Here is a 24,164-nt window from a genome sequence, read left to right on the forward strand (position 1 = left end):
TGCAGTAGGTGTTTAATAAATACTTGTTGACTAATTAGGGGGCATAAATATGTAAAAGTGGTAAATTAGCAAGAAAGAGCTGCAGTGTAGATAATCAAATAACAAAGTTGTCTAGGACAAGAGAATCTATCTCTGAGGGCTCTGTGTAGGAGGAGAGGTGGTGTTGGCTAGTGAGGCAGATCTGCCTTCTAATTAGGCTCCAATCAGGATAGTATTGCAATTAGCTCGGGATATTATAGCAGTTAGCTTCTATTCTTGGAACAAATTCCTGGGAGATTTAAGTTGGGTGGTAAAAGAAGGTTGTCCCAGGAATAAATTTGCTGTGAACCGCTTTGGAGTGACTACTTCATATGTGCCTAATTGAACCGCCAATGTAAACCTGATTGGATTGTTTCCTTCTTTATCAGCGACACTTAAACATGAGCTCAGGAATTTGGACAGCCACTTAACAACAGAACACAGCTCGGGAAATTGCAGATTTCAAATTTCAGAAAAGTCGATGAATTTAGACAACTTGAGTGTCTTCTTTGTGTTAGGGTAGACAGGCTTTGGCCTCCAAGATCTGGCTGACAAGTGCTTGCTGCTGAGACAGGCACTGAAAAGAGTAAAAAATATAATGTCTTCAATTATCTTCCCAGTTATTGAGACACTTAAAAACTCCACCCCAGCCCACCCTGACAGTCTCCTGTAAGGAGCTCAGTTTTCTCTGTGTCAACCTGATGACAGACCCAGGAGGATGTTGTGTCTGGGAATGTTTGCTCTTCCTGGCTGGGGTGAGTAGGGCTTGGCAGCAGAGACAGTGCGAACAGAACCAAGCCACGAATCCTGGCTCTCAGTCCATCCAGCCAGCAGCTTTTCGCTTCATCCTTCACCCTCCACACTTCTTCTCTTTCTTCTGCATCAGGAGAGGCAGATGTAGAGCCCAGAGTTTTTTGTCAAAGAGCCTGAGTTGGAATCCTGCCTGGCACCATCGCTGGGGGGTGACTGGCTTTCTGAGGCCCAGTTTCGTCATCTGTAAAATGGGCATGATAATATCTGCCCAAATCATTTCAGGAGGTTGGTTGTTGAGAAGAGGTGGTGCCTGTACGACTGCCCTAAGCTTGAAAGGACAGCAATCGGTGCCGGCTTTGTAGCTCACAAACTTTACCTTAAATGCTGACCATCACAGGGTCTTGGGACAGGCCCTAGGACCAGCCCCCCCACCCTTGCTGGTGCAGGGCTTCCCTGCAGATGGCGCTGTGCCTGGAGAATGCAGCCAGCAGTAAATCAGGGCAGCTTGATTAAACATGTCCAAGTCTAGTCAAGCCAGACTAGATGTGGGCGTGTTTGGCACTATAGGTGGATCCAGTCTGGATTTCCTTTACCTGCATGTCCTGGGTGTGTATCCCTCACAAAAGTTCCCCCCGCCATCACATTCACACCTCACCAAATTAAGCCACCCAGCCCCCACTTGGCCCCCTAGGAACCACTGCAGCAGGCAGTGTGTTTAATCCCTGTGAAGCATTTTAGCATTAGATGAAGATGACGCCTTGGGCTCCCATCCGCCTGTGACAGAGGCTGCCAGCTCCACTCTTGGAAACACCCTTGTTTTGACTTAGTTTCCCATCCAAGATGAAGGTAGGCAGACTGAAAAAGCCAATGCTAAAAGAAAGAAGACCCCAAGACCCCTGTATGAAGCTTAGAAGGCAAAGGCCTGTCTTCACAGAGCCAGCTAAAGAGCTAGGCTTTGGCGCCACCACATCCTGTTTGGAATCCAAGCTCCACCGTTTAGCATTTGTGTGACCAGGGGCTTGTTAAGGAAGGCCCCAAGGCTCCCTTCCCTGCGTATAAAAAGAAGAGATGGTACCTGCTTTATAGGATGCAGTGGTGAGGGTTCAATGAGAAGAGGCTTGCAATAGGCTTGGTATAGTGCCTGGCACATGGGGATATTCAAATAGTGCTGACTATTAGATCAGGAGCAGACATTGGGGTAGGAGGTATCAGCCCGGGGAGGAGACGACAAGGAGAGTTAGGGAGGGAAGGACGTGCCAGGGAAGAGACGGTGGGCTCTGCAGAGGAAGGCTTCTTGGTACCTCTCGAAAGCTGCTGTGGGAACACACCTTTACTCTGCTGACATTTTCAGACAGCCGTGCTGGCAGGGATCTGGGCACCTGGCAAAGCGAGCTGACCATCTGGCCGGCTGTTTCTGCAACAAAAAGAGATGGTGTCAAAGGTTTTGGGAGCTGGGCTCCTTTGACCCACAGTTGGCACCGGAGGCCAAATAAGTCCTCCTGGAGACCATCACCTTCTCATCAGCAATCTTCCAGCCAGCACACTGCAGCGGCCAGGGAGTGCAGGATTGTCTCCAGGAAGCCAGTGCCAAGGCCAGAGGCCCAGAGCCTGCACTGAGCAAATCGCCAGGGAGTAGTGACAGCCCTTCCTTCCTGGTCAGTGCTCTTGTCCCATGGGGCTACTATCTCCTCTGGATCCTATGAAGACTGCTCCCTGCCACGGCCATGATTACGTGTCACACTGCATGGTTAGAAGGGCAGGTTCTGAGGCCAGGCTGCCTGGGTTCATGCATTAGCTGTGTGGCCTTGGGCAAGTTACTTAGCCACATTTTGCCTCAGTTTTCTGGACTACAAAATGGAGTTGTGAGAGTTCACCAAGTTCATGCTTATAAGGAGATGGCAGCAGTGCCTGGCATTTAAAAAGTGCCCCACAGGTGTTATCTGGGGCTGTTGTCATCTCTGTGGCCAATTGTGCATCGGTTCCAGGTCTTGGGGTCATGTCTGTGTGCTTGGTGCCCTAGGTGCCCCAATATCTAGTCTCTTTTTCTCCCATTAAAAAATCAATCTCACTTCTCTGTCTCCCTATCTTTCTCCCTTTCATCTTCCCTTTCTTAGCACATTATTTATTCAACAAACACGGATGAAGTGCCTGCCCTGTGCCAGGCGCTGGGGAGGGGGAGGATGGGGGGCTACAGAGATGGAATAAACAGTGAGCCCTGCACAGGACCCTCCGAGTGCCCACAGCTAGGCAGAACAGCAGTTAGTCCATGCTGATGCAGGATTCATCATCGTCACGGGGGAGCCAGAATCTGGAGACACCCAGGCCCTGAAGACGGAGCCTGCCCAGCCCCCACCGAAAAGAGAGCTGCTATTGGCCTCAGCGTCCAGGAAGAGCCGGGTGATTCAGCGGGATGGAGATCCTCCTTCCCAAGACAAGATGGGGGCAGCAGAGGTGAGATTCTGGCTGGGAGTGAATGGGTCTGCTGGCTGACAGCTTGGCTGTCACATTCGAAAGCTTATCCGTGGACAGTGCCCCTCTGCCCTGCTAATGACAGGGATGTCACTCACAGGTCTCCCCTGGATTGTGCAGAACCAGACATTGCTGCCTTTGCCTAGGCAGGGTAATAGATATCATGAGGGCTTGGGAAGCTTCGGGGGGAAAGTTAGGCTATCTGCCCACCCCTCAATCATGCCACGCATCCCCAGAGTCACACAGAAATGTTCTTACACACCTCTGTGCCTTGGCATGGCTGCTCCCTCTGCCCAGCCTGCCCTCCCCTGGATCGGGCCTTCTCCATCTGAGCGTCCCACATGTCCCCAAGCCTCAGTCCCCAGGAAGCTCTGGGAGCCTGCAGTGCTCCAGGATCACGGGAGTCCCTACCTCCCACCAGTGGCCCTGATGCCTTGGACATGCTTTTACTACCACACTGTCACACTGGGTGGTCATTATTTGTTTAGGTGTCTGTTCTCCTTACCCTAGACCTTGAGTTCTTGAGGCCAAGAACAGCCAAGTCTCAGCTTTCTCTGCAGGACCGAGCACATAGTGGCACTCCGCAAATGCGTGCTGAGGAATGGATTGTCATTACTGATGTCATCATCCACCCCTGCACAAGTCTTGACACGGAGCAGCCTCCCACCCCTGCTGGAAGCCTGGCTTAAAGTGACCAACCTGCTTTAGTGAAGGGTTGGGGTTTGGAAGGCCCGCTGGATACAAGGATCTAGAATGAGGAGGTCTTTTCCTATTGAGGACCAAAGCTCTCAACTCTTTTTTCCTAATAAACTAGGAGAGACCAGTTTGGAATTGTCTCTAAATGTACAGGATGAGTTTGAGTTTAGGGGTAGCGGAGCCTCTTGTTCCCAACTGAAGGCACTCACGAAACCTGAACTGCACCCACTTGGAGGAAAGTGAGACGGGGCTTCCCAGTGAGAACCCAGGGAGATGCGTCAAAGGCTACAGAGGGAACAAACAAACAAGCAATTTAGTTTAGATTTTTTAATGCAGAAATGAAGTGTTCCGCTTGTTTGCTTTTAAAATGGAGAACAGAGAACATAAAATGACTTCACAAATGAAGGAAGTAATTAGAAAAAATTCCTCCAGTTCTATGTGATGGCCAGTAAAGGAAGAGAGAGCACAGAAAAGATAGAACGGGAAGGGCAGATGGGAAGGAAGGAGAGTACGACACAGAGATGATGACGCAAAGAGAGAGAGTGAAGAAGAGATGAACATGGAACCATCCCTCCACACACACACATTTTGATCTTATGGAAAACCTGCTTTGTAAAATTAAAGTTTGTCTTTTGTTGTTTTTACACTGTAAGAGAGCGATTTGAATACATTTATTGTTTTCTGACTTCTAGAATAAGAAGTTGCCAGGGAGAAGTCCAATGCCATTCTTAGTCTTGATCTTTTTTTATAATCTTTTATTTTGCTCTGTGGAAAATTTTAAGTGTTTTTTTTTTTTTGAGATGGAGTCTCACTCTGTCACCCAGGCTGGAGTCCAGTGGTGCGATCTCTGCTGACTGCAACTTCCGCCTCTCAGGTTCAAGCAATTCTTGTGCCTCAGCCTCCCAAGTAGCTGGGATTACAGGCATGTGCCACCACGGCCAGCTAATTTTTGTATTTTTAACAGAGATGGGGTTTCACCATGTTGGCCAGGCTGGTTTTGAACTCCTGACCTCAAGTGTTCCGCTTGCCTTGGCCTCCCAAACTGCTAGGATTACAGGCGTAAGCCACTATGCCTGGCCTAAATTTTAAGATTTTACCTTCATATACATCACTATGAAATTAGCGTGGGCCTTTTTTCATTCATTGTATTGGGTGCACAATGGGCTCGTAAACTCTGCAGATGCAGGTCATTCAGTCCTAGGAAGTGATTTTGTATTATTTCTTTGATAATGGACTCTCCTCCATTTCTTCTACTCCCTATTCCTTTTGCTGGGCCTCCTAGATGGATCTTCTGCTTTTCTATTTTCTCTCTGATTTTCCATACCTTTATTTTTTTTCCTCTTCCAGGTAGATTTCCTTGACCTTATCTTCCAAATCTTCTACTGACTATTTTATTTATGGGATCAAATTTTCAGTACTTTGCACTGTTTTTCTGATTATTCTTTTTTTTAAAAAAAGTTTTATTGGAGGTACACTTTACATACTCTAAAATTCACTCATTTTAAGTGTCTAATTCAATGATTTTTAGTAAATTTACAGAGGTCTGTAACCATCACCACAATCCAGTTTAAATTATTCTTTTGTGTATAGTTGTTTGTTTTGGTATCATGGGTGAAATGTCTCCTCTTATCTTTGTGTGTGTGTGTGTGTGTGTGTGTGTATGTGTATGTGTGAGACGGAGTCTCACTCTGTTGCCCAGGCTGGAGTGCAGTGGCGCAACCTTGGCTCACTGCAACCTCCACCTCCCAGGTTCAAGCACTTCTCCTGCCTCAGCCTCCCAAGTAGCTAGGATTACAGGTGCCCGTGGCTACGCTCGACTAATTTTTTGTATTAGTAGAGATGAGGTTTCACCATGTTGGCCAGGCTGGTCTCGAACTCCTGACCTCAAGTGATCCACCCACCTCAGCCTCCCAAAGTGCTGGTATTATAGGCATGAGCCACTGTGCCCGGCCATCCTCCACCTGTTACAATGCAGCCAAAAGGCCCTCACTAAATGCTGTCCCCTAATTTCAGACTTCCCAGCCTCTGGAACTGTGAACCAAATAAACTTCTATTGTTTATAAATTACCCAACCCCTGGCATTCTGTTATAACAGCAAAAAATGGACCAAGACAAGGTGATATCTATCCTTGCAGATCCCTAAAAAAAGAGTTCCTGGGAGTTGATGGATCTTTAATACCTGCTTGAGGGACAAACCAGATACTCTTTTGAGAGCCCATCTAATTCTGGGATTCTACCCTCAAGTGGGTCGAGGGGCTCAGAGTTTGCAAAGCTAGAGAGCATCAGGACCAGGGACAGATCCAGGTTTTGTGAAACCTGAAGCTTATACAATTTTCGGTGCTTTGTATAAGAAAAATAATGCAAAATTATGGATGTCAAATTAGATACGGGGCCTAGGAAGGGGCTCGTAAACTCTGCAGTAGTGGGCCTTAAGCATAAGCTTATTAGCCTCCCAATAAAGCCTCCTCTGTCTAGGACAGAACCATATTCCTTTGGAGCCAGTAGATGTCAATGTGTTTTCCCCCAACAGACTTGGTCTTCCAGATTCTACATCTCCCTCATGATTTCCCCCACCCCCCAAATTTCTAACTCAGCAAAAGCTTATTGAATGCCCACTGTGTGCAAGGCATTGGGTTGGGCCACTTCATTACTTGCCTCTGTGGCAGGACTGAGATTATCACCCACCCAGGGAGAAGCACATCTGACTCAAGATGCCCCTGAGTCTGTGCAGGTACCATCAAGGCAGAGGAAGAGTAGGATGGGCACAGAAAACCAGATGGGAAGCAGGGCCACATCTGATCTAAGGACACAGGTGGTCTCCTGAGGACATCAGGCCCCTGTGCTCAGAGGAGAAATCCATGCTGCCCTCTGTCTCACTTCTAAAAGGAATTGTTGCCGCAGAAACTGCACAGAGACGTCAGAAACCTGAGTTGGAGTGGAAGGCTCAGCTGTCTTCCTGCTGCCCCTTTGTCAGACACATCACCCCTCTTGTGGGACTGGAGTCAAATGTCATCACTCAGAGTCAGCAGCCCTGCACTTGGTCTGGAGCCCCGCTGCCAGCCCTGTCCCCACAGTTGTCCCCGGCCCTGTCTGGGCCTTTTTGAGCTGATTGAACTACAGCATCTAGAAAACTCCAGGCCAATTCTAGGTTCTGTCTACAATCTCTGAGTGTTTTCTTTTCTCTTGGAATGTTTAACCAGCAGAAAAGCACACGCCAGCAGTGGTTTCTGAGGCCCTCTTCACCTTGCCAGATGACCAGGCCTTGCCAGGGACCCACTGGGTCTCTGTCATCTCCCCGAGCCTTTTTCCTCATCTGTAAAACTGAGACGAGAACCCCTATGAAGGGCTAGTTTTATGACTGTGGTCAAGGTCAACCTGGGTCTGGGTGTGGGAAGGGGTTACTGATATCTCACAGTCTATCTTCTGGTCTAGCTGCACAGGTGATAGCCACAGGTCCCCACCAGTTAGATGTAGTGTTGGAGATAATCAGGCAGGTCAGGGCCCTCGGATGCCCCAAATTTGCTTTATGGTTTATGACATTCTCCCTTGGTTTGTACTGACAATGCTGGCTGGGAAGGAATAAAAACAGCCAAACTTCTTAAGGTGATTTGCCAGAGAATTTTTATTTGGATACACACTGTACTGAACACAGACCTGAAAATGCATTTTAAAAGGCTTTCTAATGAAGCGAATACAAAACAACTCACACATTAGACAAACCTCTGTGGTATAGCCATACTGGGGAGAGCAGAGGCTTTCTCAGAGAAGGTGGGCCAAGGAAGAGGTGGGGGAGATGTGAGGATGGCCCAAGAAGGTTTAGGGAGGGATGGTTTGGGCTCCCCTCTGAAGTTCACTGTGACCCCTATGTCCACCCAGAGAGCTCAGTGCCCTATCTCTGTTATTTATACTAGTTGCTTCCCAAGCTTCCTGGGCTTTTCTCTAATTTGGGGTGCAATTTAGAGGCCCCACTGATGAACTTTAAAATCCATTGATATTGGGCCAGGTGTGGTAGCTCACACCTGTAACCTCAGCACTTTGGCAGGCAAAGGTGGGAGGATTGCTTGAGGCTAAGAGTTCAAGACCAGCCTGGGCAACATAGTGAGACCCCCATCTCTACAAAAATTTTTAAAATAAATTAGCCAGGCATAGTGGCCTGAGCCTGTAGTCCCAGCTACTTGAGAGGCTGAGGCAGGAGGATCGATTGAGCCCAGGAATTTGAGGCTACAGTGAGCCAAGATTATGCTACTGCACTCCAGCCTGGGCAACAGAGGGAGAACCTGTCTCAAGAAAAGAAAATCCGTTGATATTATATGCAAAACTTTATGGGTGTGAAAAAAATCTTACGTGGCCGGGTTTAGAATTCTTTTCTGGGAAGGGGGCCTGAGCTTTTACCTGCTCTCCAGTGGGTTCAGCACCCACCATGGAAACCATCATGGTAGACCATGCTAAGGCAGGAAAAGGTGGGCCAGCACATGATTCCAGCAGGGCCACTGCAAGAGTGGGGAATGCAGACCACCTCCAGTTTCGGGGTGGGCTGGGTACCCAAAGGAAGATGGAGACTCAAGCCCCAGGATGTCGTTTCCCTCACAAGGTCCATCCCCATGCTACCTGGACAGTAGTCAAGACCCTTCTACGGATGATCCCATTCAAAGCACCTGTTTGGCACCCCTGATGAACCTGGCACTTGTGGGGAACATGAGGAAGGTCAGACATGACCCTTGTCAGCCTGTATGGCGCTCCTAGTCTAGGGGGCTGGGGAAACAGGCACCCAGAGAAATTACAGGGTGCTGTGGAGTGTGCTACACATGAAGGTAAAATAACCGGGCAGCACGGAGGGAAAAGTTAGCTCAGCTCATTCGGGAAGCTGGAAGCCACCCATGGACCTTAGAGTGAAACACCAGCCACCCATGGGCCTTAGCATGAAACACCAGGCTGTGTGACTTCTGAGGACCTCAGTTTCCTTATTAGTACCATATGGCAGTAACTATTTATGGAGTTGGGAGAGTCACATGAAGTCATGTCCACACAGTGCATCCATGGATTGGACCTTCAAGCGGAATTTGCCTTGTGGAAAGATCTAGAAGGACACCAAAAGCAGCAAGGGCAACATGGATAGAGGCATGGCTCGGCAGGGCACTTTGTGCCGACTCAGCGATGGGTCCATGCTGTGACTTGGAGAGACTCACTTTTGATGGTCCAGCAGCGTTCAGGTTCAATGACTCAGTAATTCTTGATTCAATGATGTGGTCATTTGAAGATTTGTGGGTACCGGCGATTAAGTAAGCAGAGTGTTTATAAATCTAGGCTGCTGATAATCATAATAATAATCGCTGCTAAAAAATGATTGAGAGCTTACTATGTGCCAGGCTGCGCACAGCATTTATGGATTAACTCACGGAATCATTAGGTCACGCTAATGGAAGGGACTTGGGTAATCCCTTTGCCAAGGAGCCACCTGTCACCTTTAGTTTCAGTTTATTCCTCCCCCTCCCATTCTTACTCAGGCCTCCCCACCCTTACCTCCCCATAAGTCATGACCCTCTCCTAAAAGTCCTAGAAGTTCAGAGCCAGAAGGGACTTGGAAGATCCCTAGTCCAGTTCCTTTTTATTTTTATTTTTTTTGAGACAGGTCTCACTCTCCTGTCCAGGCTGGAGTGCAGTGATGGGGTGATCACAGCTCACTGAAGCCTTGACCTCCTGGGCCCAAGTGATCCTCCCACCTTAGCCTTCCAAGTAGCTGGGACTACAGTTGCATGCCACCACACCCAGCTATTTTTTTTTATTTTTATAGAGACAGGGTCTCACTATGTTTCCCAGGCTGGTCTCAAATTCCTGGGCTCAAGCAATCCTCCCGCCATGGCCTCCCAAAGTGCTGGGATTACAGGCATGAGCCACCACACCTGGCCTCAGCTCCTCATTTTATACAGGAGGAAATTAAGCCCACAAAAGGAAGGGACTTGCTTTTCTAGAGTACAGAGAAAGGGCCTCTGAGCACCTGTGTAGGTGCTTGGTGAATCCAGCCAGGAGGCCTGATTATCCTTCATTGACTATCCATGTGATCTTGGGTGAGGTTCAGAGTAACAGTCAAGCCAGTGCTCAGCTGGGTGTGTCCACACCTCCCTGGTACTCACATGCACTCCGCTCTTCTTCTGGCTGTCAAGTCCCTAGATGACCCAGGCCACCTCGTTTTCCCTCAGGTCAAGCAGCTGAGGTGGGGGTTCAGGCCTCTCCAGGGCTGTAGCTCAGGCCTCAGGAGGTGCAGGAGACACCTGGGAGGTTCAGAGAGGCACAGTAACTTTAGATGTGTGCAGGTGGCCAGAAATAGCCACTGAGCAGTTCTATGGCCCTGCCCAGGCCAGTACCGTGGCCAGCCTGGGAAGCTAAATCTTCAAGACTAGCTTAGTTAGGATTGCAGTCTGGTTTCCCCAAATCCTTCAAACCCAGAGCCATCCCAGGCTGGAGTGCAGTAGCATAATCATAGTAGCCTGAGCTGTCTTCCTCTGTCTAATCCCTTGACTGTATTCCAATGTCTTCAACCCTGAGATAGACTTACTGATACCCCTGAACTTGTACCTTCTCCCCTTCTCTGTCCCTCACGCCTGCCTGGCCCCATCACGGTCCTTTGCCCTTCCCAGTTGAGCCTCAGCTCTTGCCTGGCTTCACAGGGGTCTCCTCCCTGACGCCTGTTCTCACTTCACAGCCACCTGTAAGTCGACCCTGCCTTAATCTTCCACCAGCAGAATTTGTGTGGGAAAATAGACATAACATAAAATTTACCATTTACCTTTTTAATCATTTTTTTGTTTGTTTTTGTTTTTTGTTTTGTTTTTGAGACTGAGTCTCACTCTGCTGCCCGGGCTGGAGTGCAGTGGCACAATTTTGGCTCACTGCAACCTCTGCCTCCTGGGTTTAAGTCATTCTCCTGCCTCAGCCTCCCGAGGAGCTGGGAATACAGGCATGCGCCACCATACCCGGCTAATTTTTGTATTTTTAGTAGAGACGGGGTTTTGTCATGTTGGCTAGGCTGGTCTCGAACCCTGACCTGAAGCAATCCTTCTGCCTCAGCCTCCCAAAGTGCTGGGATTACAGGCGTAAGCCACCGCACATGGCCCATTTTAATCATTTTTAAGGGGATAATTTAGGGGCATCAATCACATTCAGGATGTTGTACAATCATCACCACTATCTATTTCTAAAACTTTTTCATTGCCCCAAACAGAAACTCTGAACCAATTAAGCAACATCTCCACATCCCCCACACCACCCAACCCCTAGTAACCTCTAATCAATGTTTCTGTCCTGCTAATTTGCCTATTCTAGGTACCTCATATAAGTGAAATATTTGTCCCTCTATATTTGGCTTCTTTCACTTAGCACAATGTCAAGGTTCATCCATGTTGTAGCATGTGTCAGAACATCATTCCTTTTTATGGCTGAATAATATTCCATTGTCTATATACACTTTGTTTATCCATTCATTTACTGATAACACTGGGTAGTTTCCATCTTTTGACTATCATGAATAATGCTGCTGTGAATATTTGTGTACAAGTATCTTGTTTGAGTTCCTGCTTTCTTTCTTTTTTTTTTTTTTTCTGAGACAGAGTCTTGCTGTTGTCACCAAGGCTGGAGTGCAGTGGCAAGATCTCAGCTGACAGCAACCTCTGCCTCCCAGCTTCAAGCAATTCTCCTGCCTCGGCCTCCCAGGTAGCTGGGATTATGGGCATTTGCCACTATGCCTGGCTTACGCCTGGCTAATTTTGGTATTTTTAGTAGAGATGGGGTTTCACCATGTTAGTCAGGCTGGTCTCAAACTCCTGACCTCAGGTGATCCACCTGCCTCGGTCTCCCAAAGTGCTGGGATTACAGGCATGAGCCACCGCGCCCAGTCTTGGGTTCCTGCTTTCGATTCCTTTGGGTACATACCTAGGAGTGGAATGGCTGGATCAAATGATAATTCTATGTTTAGCTTTTTAAGGAACCACCAAACTGCTTTCCCCAGTGAGAGCACCATTTTACATTCTCACCAGCAACATGTATGGGTTCTGATTTCTCCATCCTGAACAACTCTTGTTATTTTTGAAACAGGTTTCTTTCCTTTTCTTTCTTTCTTGTTGTTGTTGAGAAGGAGTTTCGCTCTTGTTGCCCAGGCTGGAGTGCAATGGCACGATCTCCACTCCTCACAACCTCTGCCTCCCTGGTTCAAGCGATTCTCCTGCCTCGGCCTCCCGAGTAGCTGGGGGATTACAGGCATGCGCCACCATGCCCGGCTAATTTTGTATTTTTATTAGAGACGGGGTTTCTCCATGTTGGTCAGGTTGGTCTTGAACTCCCGACCTCAGGTAATTTGCCTGTCTCAGCCTCCCAAAGTGCTGGGATTACAGGCATGAGCCACGGCACCCAGCCGAAACAGGTTTCTTATTCTTTCTAGCAACAGCCCCCTCTGGGTCATCTTCAGGAGGTTTCTGTTCTCTTTAGAACTCGACCTCAAATGGTCCCATCACATCCCAAGTCTCCTTAGCCCAACTGCTGCTGCAGTAGCCCAGGAAGTGGGGTGCTGAGATGAAGGTCCACATCAGCAGGTCTAGGGTGGGGCCCTGGAACTGGCATTTCTAACAACTTTCCAGCAGGTGCTGATGCTGCTGGTCTGGGGATCACTGGAGAACCAAGGCTTGAAGGCATCACATTTTATATTTTGCTCTAGGAGGTTTCTGCTTAGTTCTTTCCCTTCCACATTTGCATAAAACAGAAGCCCCGCAACTCAAGATCTTGTTAGGCTCCGGGGAGGAAGACAGGGAAGGGATTCCTTTCCTTCCTCAATTCCCAGACTCTCTGTCCTGCTCCGTCTGGAATATGAGTGTCCCCTGTTCTGTCTCTGCAAACAAGTCAGGGCCTTTGCTGGGGCCAACAGCGGCACAAGAATTAAAGTTCCAAGTTAGCTTTGGATCAGCTTCAATCGACTTTTCACTCTGGAGCTGTTCTAGGTGAGGCATTGGCATTTTATTCAGTGTGTTAAATGGCTGACAGGCGTTGAGTCTGGTGAAAGATTGCCCTGAAATACCTCCCCCAAGGCCTGGTGTGGGAAAAAAACAATGAAAGCCTGGCCTCTCCTCTGGAGCAGAGAGCCTTTCATCCAGGCCCCAGAGCCGTCCACTGAAGCTCTGTCCAAGGTAGCCAGTCACAGGGTCCTCTGCTTCAGAGCTCCCAACTCTGGCTCCCTCTGACCCGCCCCTTTCTCTTTCCCCCAAACTCTAGCTTTGGAGACCTTTGCCTACTGTTGGCCTCTGGTTTTGGCAAACAGTTTCCAACATCTCAGATTTCCCCATTTTGCATACAAATCACTTCCCTTCTGTGGGCCTCAGTTTCCCCATTGTTCAAATTAAAGAAACGACGAGAGCAATGATTTTGTAACCATGTTCCACAGAGCTCGAGGATTCGCTGAAGGCCAAGGTATACCCCGAGTTCGCCACCTCTGCTTTATTAGAGTGGCCTCGTTTGTATTTGATATCTGAAAGTTCTATGTAAACATCTCATTTGGAAGACAAAGTTCTGCTGGGAAAAAGTAGTTTGAAAATCAACAGCCGAGATGATCTTGAACATTTTCCCCTCTGGTTTCATCTTCTATATTCTATAGTTCTTTGACCATTACATCTTTTCCAAGTCCCAGCCTGCATGTGACACCAGTCTTGAATTTTCCTTGAGCTTCTGGAACTCAATGCTCAGGAACACGTGTTTCTTCCATGACAGGGATAGGGCAGTGGCCGGCTGGCTGAGTGGTGACTGCTGCAGCCCTCTGGCCAGTCTAGGAGGGCATGGCACCTCAAGCAAGGTGGAGTGGGGCTGAGTAGGGGAAGGAGGTTGCAGTGGTCACTACGAGCCTTCCCGGGTGTGTTTGTGTGTGTGTTTTCCACTTGGAAGACGCCACTCGCGAAGGAGTAGGAACCCGTTTCACAGTTCCCGTGACAGTCCTGTGTGAAACACCAGTGAACTCCCAGGCCCAGTGGAGGGTGAGAAGGGAGGTCAAGTGGGAGCCACCCACAAGGATGTTTTCTGGCTATCAAATTGGCCTCATGGGCCTGAAGTTGACACGCATCAGCACGATGAATGAGCCTGTAATACCTGATCATCAGGACAGAAGCAAGCGTACCTGGGATGCTTCTCTGGGAGCCAGAAGGGTGGTAGGAAGAGGGTAAAATATGCTGAGTTGAAATAGCTGAGGCTGTTTCTTCTGGAGAAGAGCAGGCAGAAGGCTAGGGTGGGTAGATGGGGGACTATCTATTTATCAGGCTCAGGTACACGTATCCTTATTGCAGGAAATGTGATGTACAGGCTTCTGGATTTATGGTGAGGGAGAGGCAGGACTCTAAATCATTTTGCAGACCCTGAAGCCCTGACTGGAGGCTTCTCAGGCTGGAATACATTACGTGGTGGGAGCTCCTCCAGTGATGCACCATCAATTGTGGCACCGTGGCTACTCCAGAGGCACTGGAAATATTCAAAGGGAGGAAGGAAGATGGGAACTGTGCAATGGCATTGTATGTGTAAAGGGAGTGCCCAGGCGCCTGGGGTGAGGGTGAAGCTCCCACTGGAGTTCCCATAGTTCTAGCTGTGCTCTGGCACTTAGCTCTGTAAATCTGCCCAAAGACCCTGACAATGGAGTAGAAAGGGCTTTGCAGTCAGACGAATTTGGGCTTGAATCCTAGCTCTACCGATTGGCAGCTAGATGACCTTGAGCAACTTATTTGAAAACTCCTAAATCTGTTTCCTTAGCTGTAAAGTAGGAATAATACCCAAGGATGTCACTGTTTGTTTTTCATCCACAAGCCAATCTCCCTTTCTCCTTTGATTTTGTTTAGATGAAACATTAGGGAAGAAGGGCCTCTCCTGCAGCTTCAGCAAGATAAACTGCAATTGGTCGGATCTAAGCATAATCATGTCATTTTCTTTTAGCTATTGATTGGTTTAGGAGAGGGCATGTGACCTAATTTTAACCAATGAGATTTTTCTTTCTGATTATGTCAAAGAGTCCTACTGTCATCTTCCTACCATAATGTGGTTGGGTGAGGATGTGATGCTTGGAGCTGTGGCAGCCATTCTGCAACCATGAGGTGATAAGCCTAAGAAAGAAAAGAAAACACAGCAAGGATGGTGATGCAGAAAAATAGAAAGAAGCTGGGTCCTTGAGCATTTTGCTGAGCTGTGGAACTGTAATAGGTTCATTGCTCAATGTGCGAGGCAAGTCAATATGCTGAGACACTAGGTTGCAGCAGAGAAAGAAGTTTAATCATAGGGTTGCTGGATGAAGAGAAGGGAAGGAACTTCAAATTTATCTCCCTGAGGAGTTTGGGGCTAGGGTTTTTAAAGGATTTTGGAGTGGGCCAAACTGTGGAGATCATTGATTGGCTGAAGAGTACAGGGTGAAGTCATGGGACAGGGAGATGAAGAAGCTGAATTCTCTTACTGATCCCATTCCTCTGTGAAAAACATCCGAAGTGATCCTTAAACAAAAGCCTTATGATTTTTTTTTGGAGGGGCTGTTAACAGCTTTATTGAGACATATACTACACATACCATACAATTCACCCACTTAAAGTATTCCTAGTATCTTCACAGAGTTGTGCAAACTTCACTACAACCAATTTTAGAATATTTTCTTCACCTCAAAAAGAAACTCTCTATGCTTTTGCTATCACTCCCCAACCCCCTACATCCCCAAGCTTTAAGCAACTATTAATCCACTTTTTCTCTCTATGGATATACCTATTTTGGGCATTTCACATAAGGAATCTAATATATAGTATTTATGACTGGCTTCTTTTACTTAGCATAATGTTTTCAAGGTTTATCCATGTTATAGTGTGTATCACTACTTTATTCATTTTTATGGCTGAATATTATTTCATTGTATGGATACGCTACATAAAATTTTAGGATTCGGCCAGGCGCGGTGGCTCACACCTGTAATCACAGCACTTTGGGAAGCTGAGGGGGGTGGCTCATTTGATGTCAGGAGTGTGAGACCAGCCTGGCCAACATGGTGAAACCCCGTCTCTACTAAAAATACAAAAATTAGCCAGGTGTGGTGGGGGGCGCCTGTAATCACAGCTACTTGGGACACTGAGTCAGAAGAATTGCTTGAACTCGGGAGGTGGAGGTTGCAGTGAACCGAGATTGTGCCACTGCACTCCAGCATGGCGACAAGAGTGAAACTCTGTCTCAAAAAAAAAAAAAAAAAAAAAAAAAAGCTTTAGGATTCTGATGTCAGAGACCCTGTCTGTAGGAGCAATGGGGATGCAAACAGTCAGGATCTAGCACTACCCGACCTTTAGCAACAAGGAAATGGGCCAAAGTGCAGCCTGATTAGTGCTGAATTCTAACTATATTTCTGTCCAGAACCTGGCATGCAACCCTTGTCAACCCTCTGGGGGCAGTGTCAGTTGCTGCATGGACTCTGGGATTGTGTGTGTCTCCAGACTTCTTATCTGAGAGTGAAGAATCTTTATTCCATATGACATTGGCAATTGGGTATTCCATTACCTGCACCTAAAGCATTCCTCCCTGTAGTACAGCAATCTCACAGGGTTGTTGTGAGCATTAAATAAGATAACAAATATGCAAAAATTCCAAGCCTAGAACTTGGTTTAGTGTAGGTGTTCAATACATGCTAATTTCTTCCCTCTCCTCTATTTTAATCTCTTAACTTTAGATTTTTTTTCTACTCTACCAATCTCACAAGATTGTGCTAAAAAACAAATGAGATCATTGTTATTTATTGCCACAATAATGCTGTATAACAAATAGCCACAAAACCTGAGTGGCATACCACAATAAACATTTCTTTAGCCCACAAACGGGAGACACTGTTAACTTGGGTAACAAAGGGGCGGATGCACAGGCCTGTGAATCTACTAAAAGCCATTGAATTAAATGGGTGAATTTTATGGTATGTGAATTACATCTCAACAAAGCAGCTAAAAAGAAAAAAGGAGGATGATTGCAGAGTAGGGAGAGGAGGGAAGAATTACTAGGTGGTGGTGATACCATCCATTTCCTATAAGGCTGCTGGGGCCCCACCATGCAGGACCATTCACAACCCTGCTTGTTAAGGTTTTCTCTGCCATCCTTGAAAATAATCACTGGTTGCATAACGGACGCTGTGGGGAAAGATTCTGCTGACAGCAATTCACTCTGTGGCTGACTTTGCTGGAGCACAAGCCCCCCTATCCCACAGGCCCAGACAGGAGCTGGGATCTCAGTGCATACAAGGAAGTAGAGGCACCAGATGAGAGATGGGAGCATCATCCCAGGGCTGCCTCCTTGGCCAGAAGGTGGCATTAAGGGCTTCTGTCCTGCTGTGTATTTGGAGAGGCAGAGGCATGTGGGAAAGGGAGAAAACGTTAGCGTGTAACAGCGACGAAGGGGCTGGAGCATGGGACCTACAGGGAAGGATGAAATGAACCGGGGTTATGAGCTAGAGAAGAGCAGCAGGAGGGGCAGCTTCACAACTATCTTCAGGAAACAGTTGGGTTATTAACCCCTGCAAGGGGTTATTAACCCCTGTATTAACCCCTGCGAGGGGGCCATGACAGGCTGCTCTCCAGTCTCTTTGAACTTGAGTCTGTAGGAAGCAAAGTTGCTTTCACAGGAAACTGGCAACTGCCTGCAGCATCTGAGCAAGTGCATAGGTCCCTGGTCCATGTGGACATGAGGTTCCCCCTTCCTGTGGAACATTCCCACCCCCACTGAAAAGCAGCCACAGACAGCATGTAAATGAATGGGCACGGCTGTGTTCTAATAACACTTTATTTATAAAAACAGGCCCAGTGAGTGTAGACTCCTGGAGAAAGACAGAACTGGGAGGGCCTCAGAGACCAGTGATTTCTAGTCCTGCCCGCATAGTAAAGTCACCTGAGAAACTTTCAAACACTACTCATATCTGGGCCCCATGTAGAAAGTCAATTTCGTCAACTTTCTGGGGGCCAGACCTGAGCATGGGCATTTATTCAAGTTCCCCAGGTGGTTCTGACATGCAGTCTGGGGTTAAGAGCCACTGCCCCAATCCAACTGCATCATTTTATACATCAGGAAACCGAAGCCCGGAGACAGCCAGCAGGTCTACGTTCTTACAGTCAGTCTGATTTAAGGGACTCCTCCAAAGCGGCAAAGTGCCATTTGGGTCAGATCTCTGACCTGAGCTGCCTCTCGGGGCTGTCATCTTTCTCTCCTCCTGACAGGTGGATTTTCCCATGTAAACTTTAGATCGGCTGATCTAGGAACTAAAATGAAAATGGGGCACCCTGAGGGCCCACTGGGGAACAGAGTTTGGGAGGGAACATGGAGGGCAGTTTTTTGTAAAGGTAGGTTTTAGAGAGAAACAACTCAATTTACTAGCTTTGTGTGACATGGGCAGGTTACCTAATCCAAGACTTTGTTTCTCCATTTATAGAATAGGGCTGATCATAATGTCTGCCTTGTGAGGGTGTTGTAAGGATTAGAAGGGATTATCCATGTAAAATGTTTAGCATTGTTCCTGGCACACAACCAGTGCTAATAAACAGCAGCATTTACAAGTATTTTTATTTTATCTTGGTATTAGATCCATTGCTGTGGGTGCACTTAGCAAAGTCAGAAGCAGGAATCCAGCTGGAAGGTAGAGGGCAGTCCAGGCATGGGCAATGGCCAAAGAAAGGCCATGAGGTGGGGGTGAGCAAGCTGTGATGAGACCCAGCTCTGGGGACCCATTCAAATGTCACCAAACCTGCCTGTGTCCAGACTGCCACCTGGAACCTGCTCCTCCTCTCCCCCAGCTCCTGAGCTTCTGTTCCGCTGTGGTCAGGGTCTTTACTGCACCCTGCTGGATTGGGGAAACTGCCCCTGGTGAGGGCAGGTGTGCCCTGTGTGTTGGTAGCCTCCAAGGGGCCTTGTACCTTGTGTGGCACACAATAGGCGTAGCCAGTCAGGCTGAAAAGGAAGCAGCTTCTAATAAACATTAAAATAAGAGAGGCACAGCAGGGAAAAGCCGTGGCAGGATGGCCAAGGAGCTTCTGTTTGATGCCATGGATGGGAAGCAAGAAGCTGTACTTGGCTGGAGCTCCCCACATACCCCTAAGGGATCCCGTGCTGCTCTGACCCAGGGCCATTTGCTCTGGGAAGAGAGTGCCTTGGTCCTGGGCTGGGACAGGAAGTCTTCCCTGACCATCACTGTCACATCCTTCCATGTGCTCTGCCTGTGGCAGCCCCTCCTCCAGAACTTGCAATCCACCCCGTCCTCACTACTAAGGCCGGGCCCAAGGTGTCTGAGCCCACCGCAGCCACCCTACCTGACACCTGGGCAGCCTTCCCATAGACCAGGGAGCGGGGGAGGAGGGAACAGACCAGTGGGCCTGGAAGGGGACTGGATAGTTGATTTGGGGTCCACCCAATTAGGCTCCAGGTGACTGTAACTGCATTCAGAATCCTGATGCCACCCCACCCAGCTGTACTAACATAGCAGCTTCATGTTCACAGGTGCTTTACTATGACTTGCCTCACTCCAGCTTCTCAAGCCATGCTCTTAACCTCTGATTCCTTTCTCAGGGTTCAGAGCTCTTTTTCAGGTGGGTCACGTGGGGGAAAAGGTTGATTTTTCAGCTGGTGCTGATGTGCCCTAGCCTACCATGCCTGACTGACCCCATTGAGATAAAGGGGACAGAAGACCCCCTGTCTCCTGGCTCCCCAAGACTTGCCTGGAGATTGGGGTGTCATGGGGAATGGCACAGAGAGCACACTAGGTGTTTTTTCTCCAGGCTTGCAAACCCAGCCTGAGGAGGCACCCCATTATCTTAGCTTCAGGGATTGTCCTTCTCCTCCAAGGACCCTCTCCCTGGGCCAGTGTCCCTTCCTCCTTAGTCCCACCAGGGTGGGGAGGCTGCAGAATCCATCTGGAGACAGAGAGCGTGGGATTGATGTGCTGTTTTTAGTTCCGTGGGAGAACTCACAACAAGGGGTTGTAATTTCTCTGCAATTTCCCTCCTTGATGAGGCATCTGTTGGCATGCTGTGAGGAAATTCTCATTGGAGCAGACAGGGCACGTCTATGGAGCCACTTGCATGGGTGTGACAAGGCCTCATCACTGTTTCTGCCTCTCAGAGGTCCTGGGCTTTGCTCTGAATCAGAGGAGCTCTGAATCTGGGGCCCATCCTCCTTCTCTACCTCTGTCCTCCTCCTCTACCACCTTCTCTGCCTCCCTCTCTGGCTGACTCACGTGTGGCCTCCAGCTGTCTCTGCCATGGGTGGCACCTGCCTGTGCCTCGGTCACCTCTTGTTTCTTGCACTGTCCGAGCCTGATGGTCCCCTCAATGGTGACCTCTGAGCTCCAGCACATCCACAAGCTCAGCTGATACTTTCACCCATACCATGTCCTGGAGCTCCAGGGATGAACAGGGAGCCCCCTCTCCACCCACTCACCCTCAGGTAGCTGAGTGCGTGGGTGGGAGGGAAGGCAAGACACTAACGTGAGATGCCTGTGCTTATGGTACAATGCACAGTGGAGTTTGGGAGCTCAAAGAGGGAAACCCTCATCTCTTGGAAGCACAGTGATTGGCAGAGCTGGAGGTCAGACAATTGGAGTTTTGCCCCAGGCCAGCCAAATACACAGGCTATGACATTTGGGGGAAATGATTAGATGTGTGATGGGGAATGTTACACTTACAGGATAGGACATGCTCTCCCATGCAGCAAGTACTTGGCAGGAATGGTTATTTACAATAGGAAGCTCCCAGGCAGTGCACATAATACTATCCTGCTCCTCACTGTCTCCCCAGCCACAACCAGGCACTCCCAAGCTGATGTGAGGACACCTTTATCATCCTTGTCCTGGGCATCAAGGTTGCCAGTTATAGTTCTGGTGGCTCAGGGTGCACCAGGGAGCAGGTGATGCTTTGCCTGAGTCTTGACGGGTGGGCAGGGGTTTGCCAGGCCGGTGAGGGGATGGAGTGCAGGGAGTTCCAGGTAGGAGATGGAGGTGGGCATCATATTCGGAAGAATATACATGGTTTGACCTGGCGAGGGCTTGAGGGTAAAAGGGCAGGAGATGTCCTCAAATGCTGGGTGGAGCCAAACCCTGAAGGCCTTGAATGTCACACTGAGAGGTCATGGCTTTTCACCTCCAGGCCTTTGCTCATCATAGACTGTGCCCCCTCAGGAGCAGGACAAGCAAGGTGCAAAATTTACGGAGACACTCACTCTCAGCCGCACCAGTGCACGCCGGCACCTGATAATGACTGCCTCCTTACTTTGCATCCTAGGTCCCCTTCCTAGGTCACCCTACACACAGCCCTGCTTAGGAGGGAGGTCACTTTCTATTCATCTTTGAGCGTGGGGCCTGAAACAGTGCCCAACCAGAGTAGAAGAGCAAGAAATGCATATAGAATTAATGAACAAATGAATGAACAAATGTTGTTCTCTCTGTCTGGAACATGTTTACCTTCCTCTTGGCCAGTCAAGGTGTGTCATTTTTTTTTTTTTCAGCTTACCTCTTCCCTGCAGCCCCTCCAGGCAATGCTGTCCTGAGTCCTCAGCTCTTATGTTGTATATATGTCCTATTTCCCAGCTGGGTGGTGTTCTTCTGTCTGGAAAAGGACATAGACACGGCAGGTGCCCTGTAACATCTGGGCATCATTGAATGTATCCCAGGCCCTTGGGTGGGAAATAGCCACTGCTGCTGCTGCTGCTGCTGTGAGTTTTGGTTTCCCTCCCTCCACTTCCTTCCCTCTCCTTCATGGGGCTAGACTCAGAGAAGGCTCCTGGAGGTGGTTGCTCCAAACTGCCCCTCCATAGATACAACGCATTTGCTCAGTTCGAGTTCCTGATTCCCCGCTTTGGATGGCTCCCAGCCAGCTGATGCTCATGCAGTCTGGAAGGCTCCAGAGGTCTTCTGATTTGCCCACACCCCCCATCCTCTGGATGGCACTCCTCATCAGGTATGAAACCCATGGGGTCTTGGCTAAAAAAACGAGGTTAAACACAACCACTCCTGGGCTGCAGAAACTCCGCGGATAATCAATGATGTTCCCCAGAAGGGGTCAAGACATTCACATTTTTTTGTCCAGTAGAGAATCTGTTTCAATCAGGAAGCTACTCTTGCTGTCCAGAAAAGTGGGTCAGTCCCCTCCCATGCTCACCTCGTGAGAACAGGGAGGACAGGCACAGGGCATCACGAGGGTAGCATAATTACAGAGTGCCCAGGTCAGGGCGCTGAGCCTGTACATCAAGAAGGAGGCCATGCCCTGGCATCCATCAGAACCTGGCATCCTGCATACTACATCTCAGAGGGCAAAAACCTCCTTGGGAATGCTGTTGCTAAAGAACCAGTGCTCAGGTGAACTTGAAGCAACTGCAGACAGAGAATGAGCAACAAAGGGCTTAGAGACAGTGCCAAACCCCAAACCTCCTGTGCAGCACAAAGACCTTGGGGCCCCCTGAGGAGGTCCAAGCTCCCCCAAATAAGGAACAAACTCCAATTCAATCAGGGAAAGAGCCGGGCATCCTCTTAGCCATTCCTGATAATAGGTTTTTTACTAGCTGTGTGCTTGTTAATTATGCCTGAGTTGCGAGAAAGTTTAAGGCATTGGTAACGAGCTCTGCCATTTACTAGCTCTGTTCCCTCAGGCAAGTTATCTAGCCTTGCTGGACCTTAGTTTCTCCATCTGTAAAACGGAGATAATTCTATCTACCCTCAAAAGGTCTAATGATTCAATAAGTCCTTAGAAAGTCTGGCACATCGTGGATACTATTAAGTATTGCCTGATAAGGATAATCAAAATATTTTCCATATAGTTTAATTACATTGAGCTCTCATTTTGAGTCTGTGAGGGCTAAGTCATTAAAACATCAATCATTTGTACTTTTCATAAAGTCCAAGTTCAAGAACATGTGTAGGTATTACAGCTACCTGAGCCAGGGGGCCGAACCTGACTTCCGAGAGCCAAGATTCTGACGCCCAGGAGGGCAGAACTAGGTAAGCAGCATCCCCTCCTTCCTGGATCCTATTCTTTTAAGGTCCATCCCTGCCAGGTTGGCTTCAAGTCACACAGACACAGCCCACCTTGGCTTTTTCGACCAGGCTGAAGGCAGCCCTAGTGTGTACGGAGTTGGTTCCTTCCGGTGGGTTCGTGGTCTCACCAACTTCAGGAATGGAGCCACGGACCTTCGCATGAGTGTTACAGCTCTTAAAGATGGCACGGACCCAAAGAGCCAGCAGCAGCAAGATTTATTGTGAAAAGCGAAAGAACAAACCTTCAACAAAGCTTCCACAGCATGGAACAGGGACCCAGGAGGTTGCCTGCTGGCTGAGGTTGGGTGGGCTTAGGGGGTGGCTAGCTTTATTCCCTGATTGTCCCCTCCCATGTTCTGTTTCTGTCCTATCAGAGTGCCCTTTTTTCAATCCTCCCCGCAATTGGCTACTTTTAGAATCCTGCTGATTGGTGCATTTTACAGAGCGTTGATTGGCTCATTTTACAGAGCGCTGATTGGTGCGTTTTTCTTTTTTGAGATGGAGTCTTGCTCTGTCGCCCAAGCTGGAGTGCAGTGGCGCAATCTCGGCTCACTGCAAGCTCCGCCCACCGGGTTCAGGCCATTCTCCTGCCTCAGCTTCCCAAGTAGCTGGGACTACAGGCGCCCGCCACCACACCCGGCTAATTTTTTGTATTTTTAGTAGAGATGGGGTTTCACCGTGTTAGCCAGGATGGTCTCGATCTCCTGACCTCGTGATCCGCCCGCCTTGGCCTCCCAAAGTGCTGGGATTACAGGCGTAAGCCACCACGCCCAGCCGATTGGTGCATTTTACAATCCTCTTGTCAGACAGGAAAGTTCCCCAAGTCCCCACTCTACCCAGGAAGTCCAGCTGGCCTCACCTCCAACTAGACTCGGCCATGGGGACCCTGCTTCACCGTTCTGAGTGTCTGCTTCTCTTGGCAATGGCAGAGAAGTTTATCTCCCCTGCTGTGGGGCAGTGGCAAAGTGGAAAGGAGAAAAGTTCAGTATCTGGCAGGAATGTGTTTCTTTAACATTTCTCTGTGCGAGAATGGGAAGAGTGGCACTGGGATGGGTTTTCTGCCATCACTGCTCAGGGCCTAAGAGCCAGGGTGGAGTAGCCCCCTTGCCCTGCTGAACTCGTGAAGGTGAGAATACCATAGGCAGCCCTTGGAGGGTAGGGGAGGGAATGAATAGGGTGGTTTGAAGAAAACTGA

General features: G+C 48.7%; 1 protein-coding gene and 1 long non-coding RNA gene across 3 annotated transcripts in view; one reads left to right on the plus strand and one right to left on the minus strand.

Moving 5' to 3' along the window:
- The window catches only part of LINC02210-CRHR1 (LINC02210-CRHR1 readthrough), a 215,483-nt gene that overhangs the window by 27,273 nt on the left and 164,046 nt on the right, over positions 1-24,164 (plus strand). The window lies entirely within an intron of this gene.
- Positions 10,059-23,297, minus strand: LOC105371802 (uncharacterized). The gene is made up of 3 exons (XR_002958155.2): positions 23,212-23,297; positions 21,450-21,545; positions 10,059-10,205 (listed from the first exon to the last, which is right to left on the minus strand). It is a non-coding gene; the product is annotated as an uncharacterized LOC105371802 (long non-coding RNA).

Source organism: Homo sapiens, chromosome 17, assembly GCF_000001405.40.
Source record: "Homo sapiens chromosome 17, GRCh38.p14 Primary Assembly".
Taxonomy (NCBI): Eukaryota; Metazoa; Chordata; class Mammalia; order Primates; family Hominidae; genus Homo; species Homo sapiens.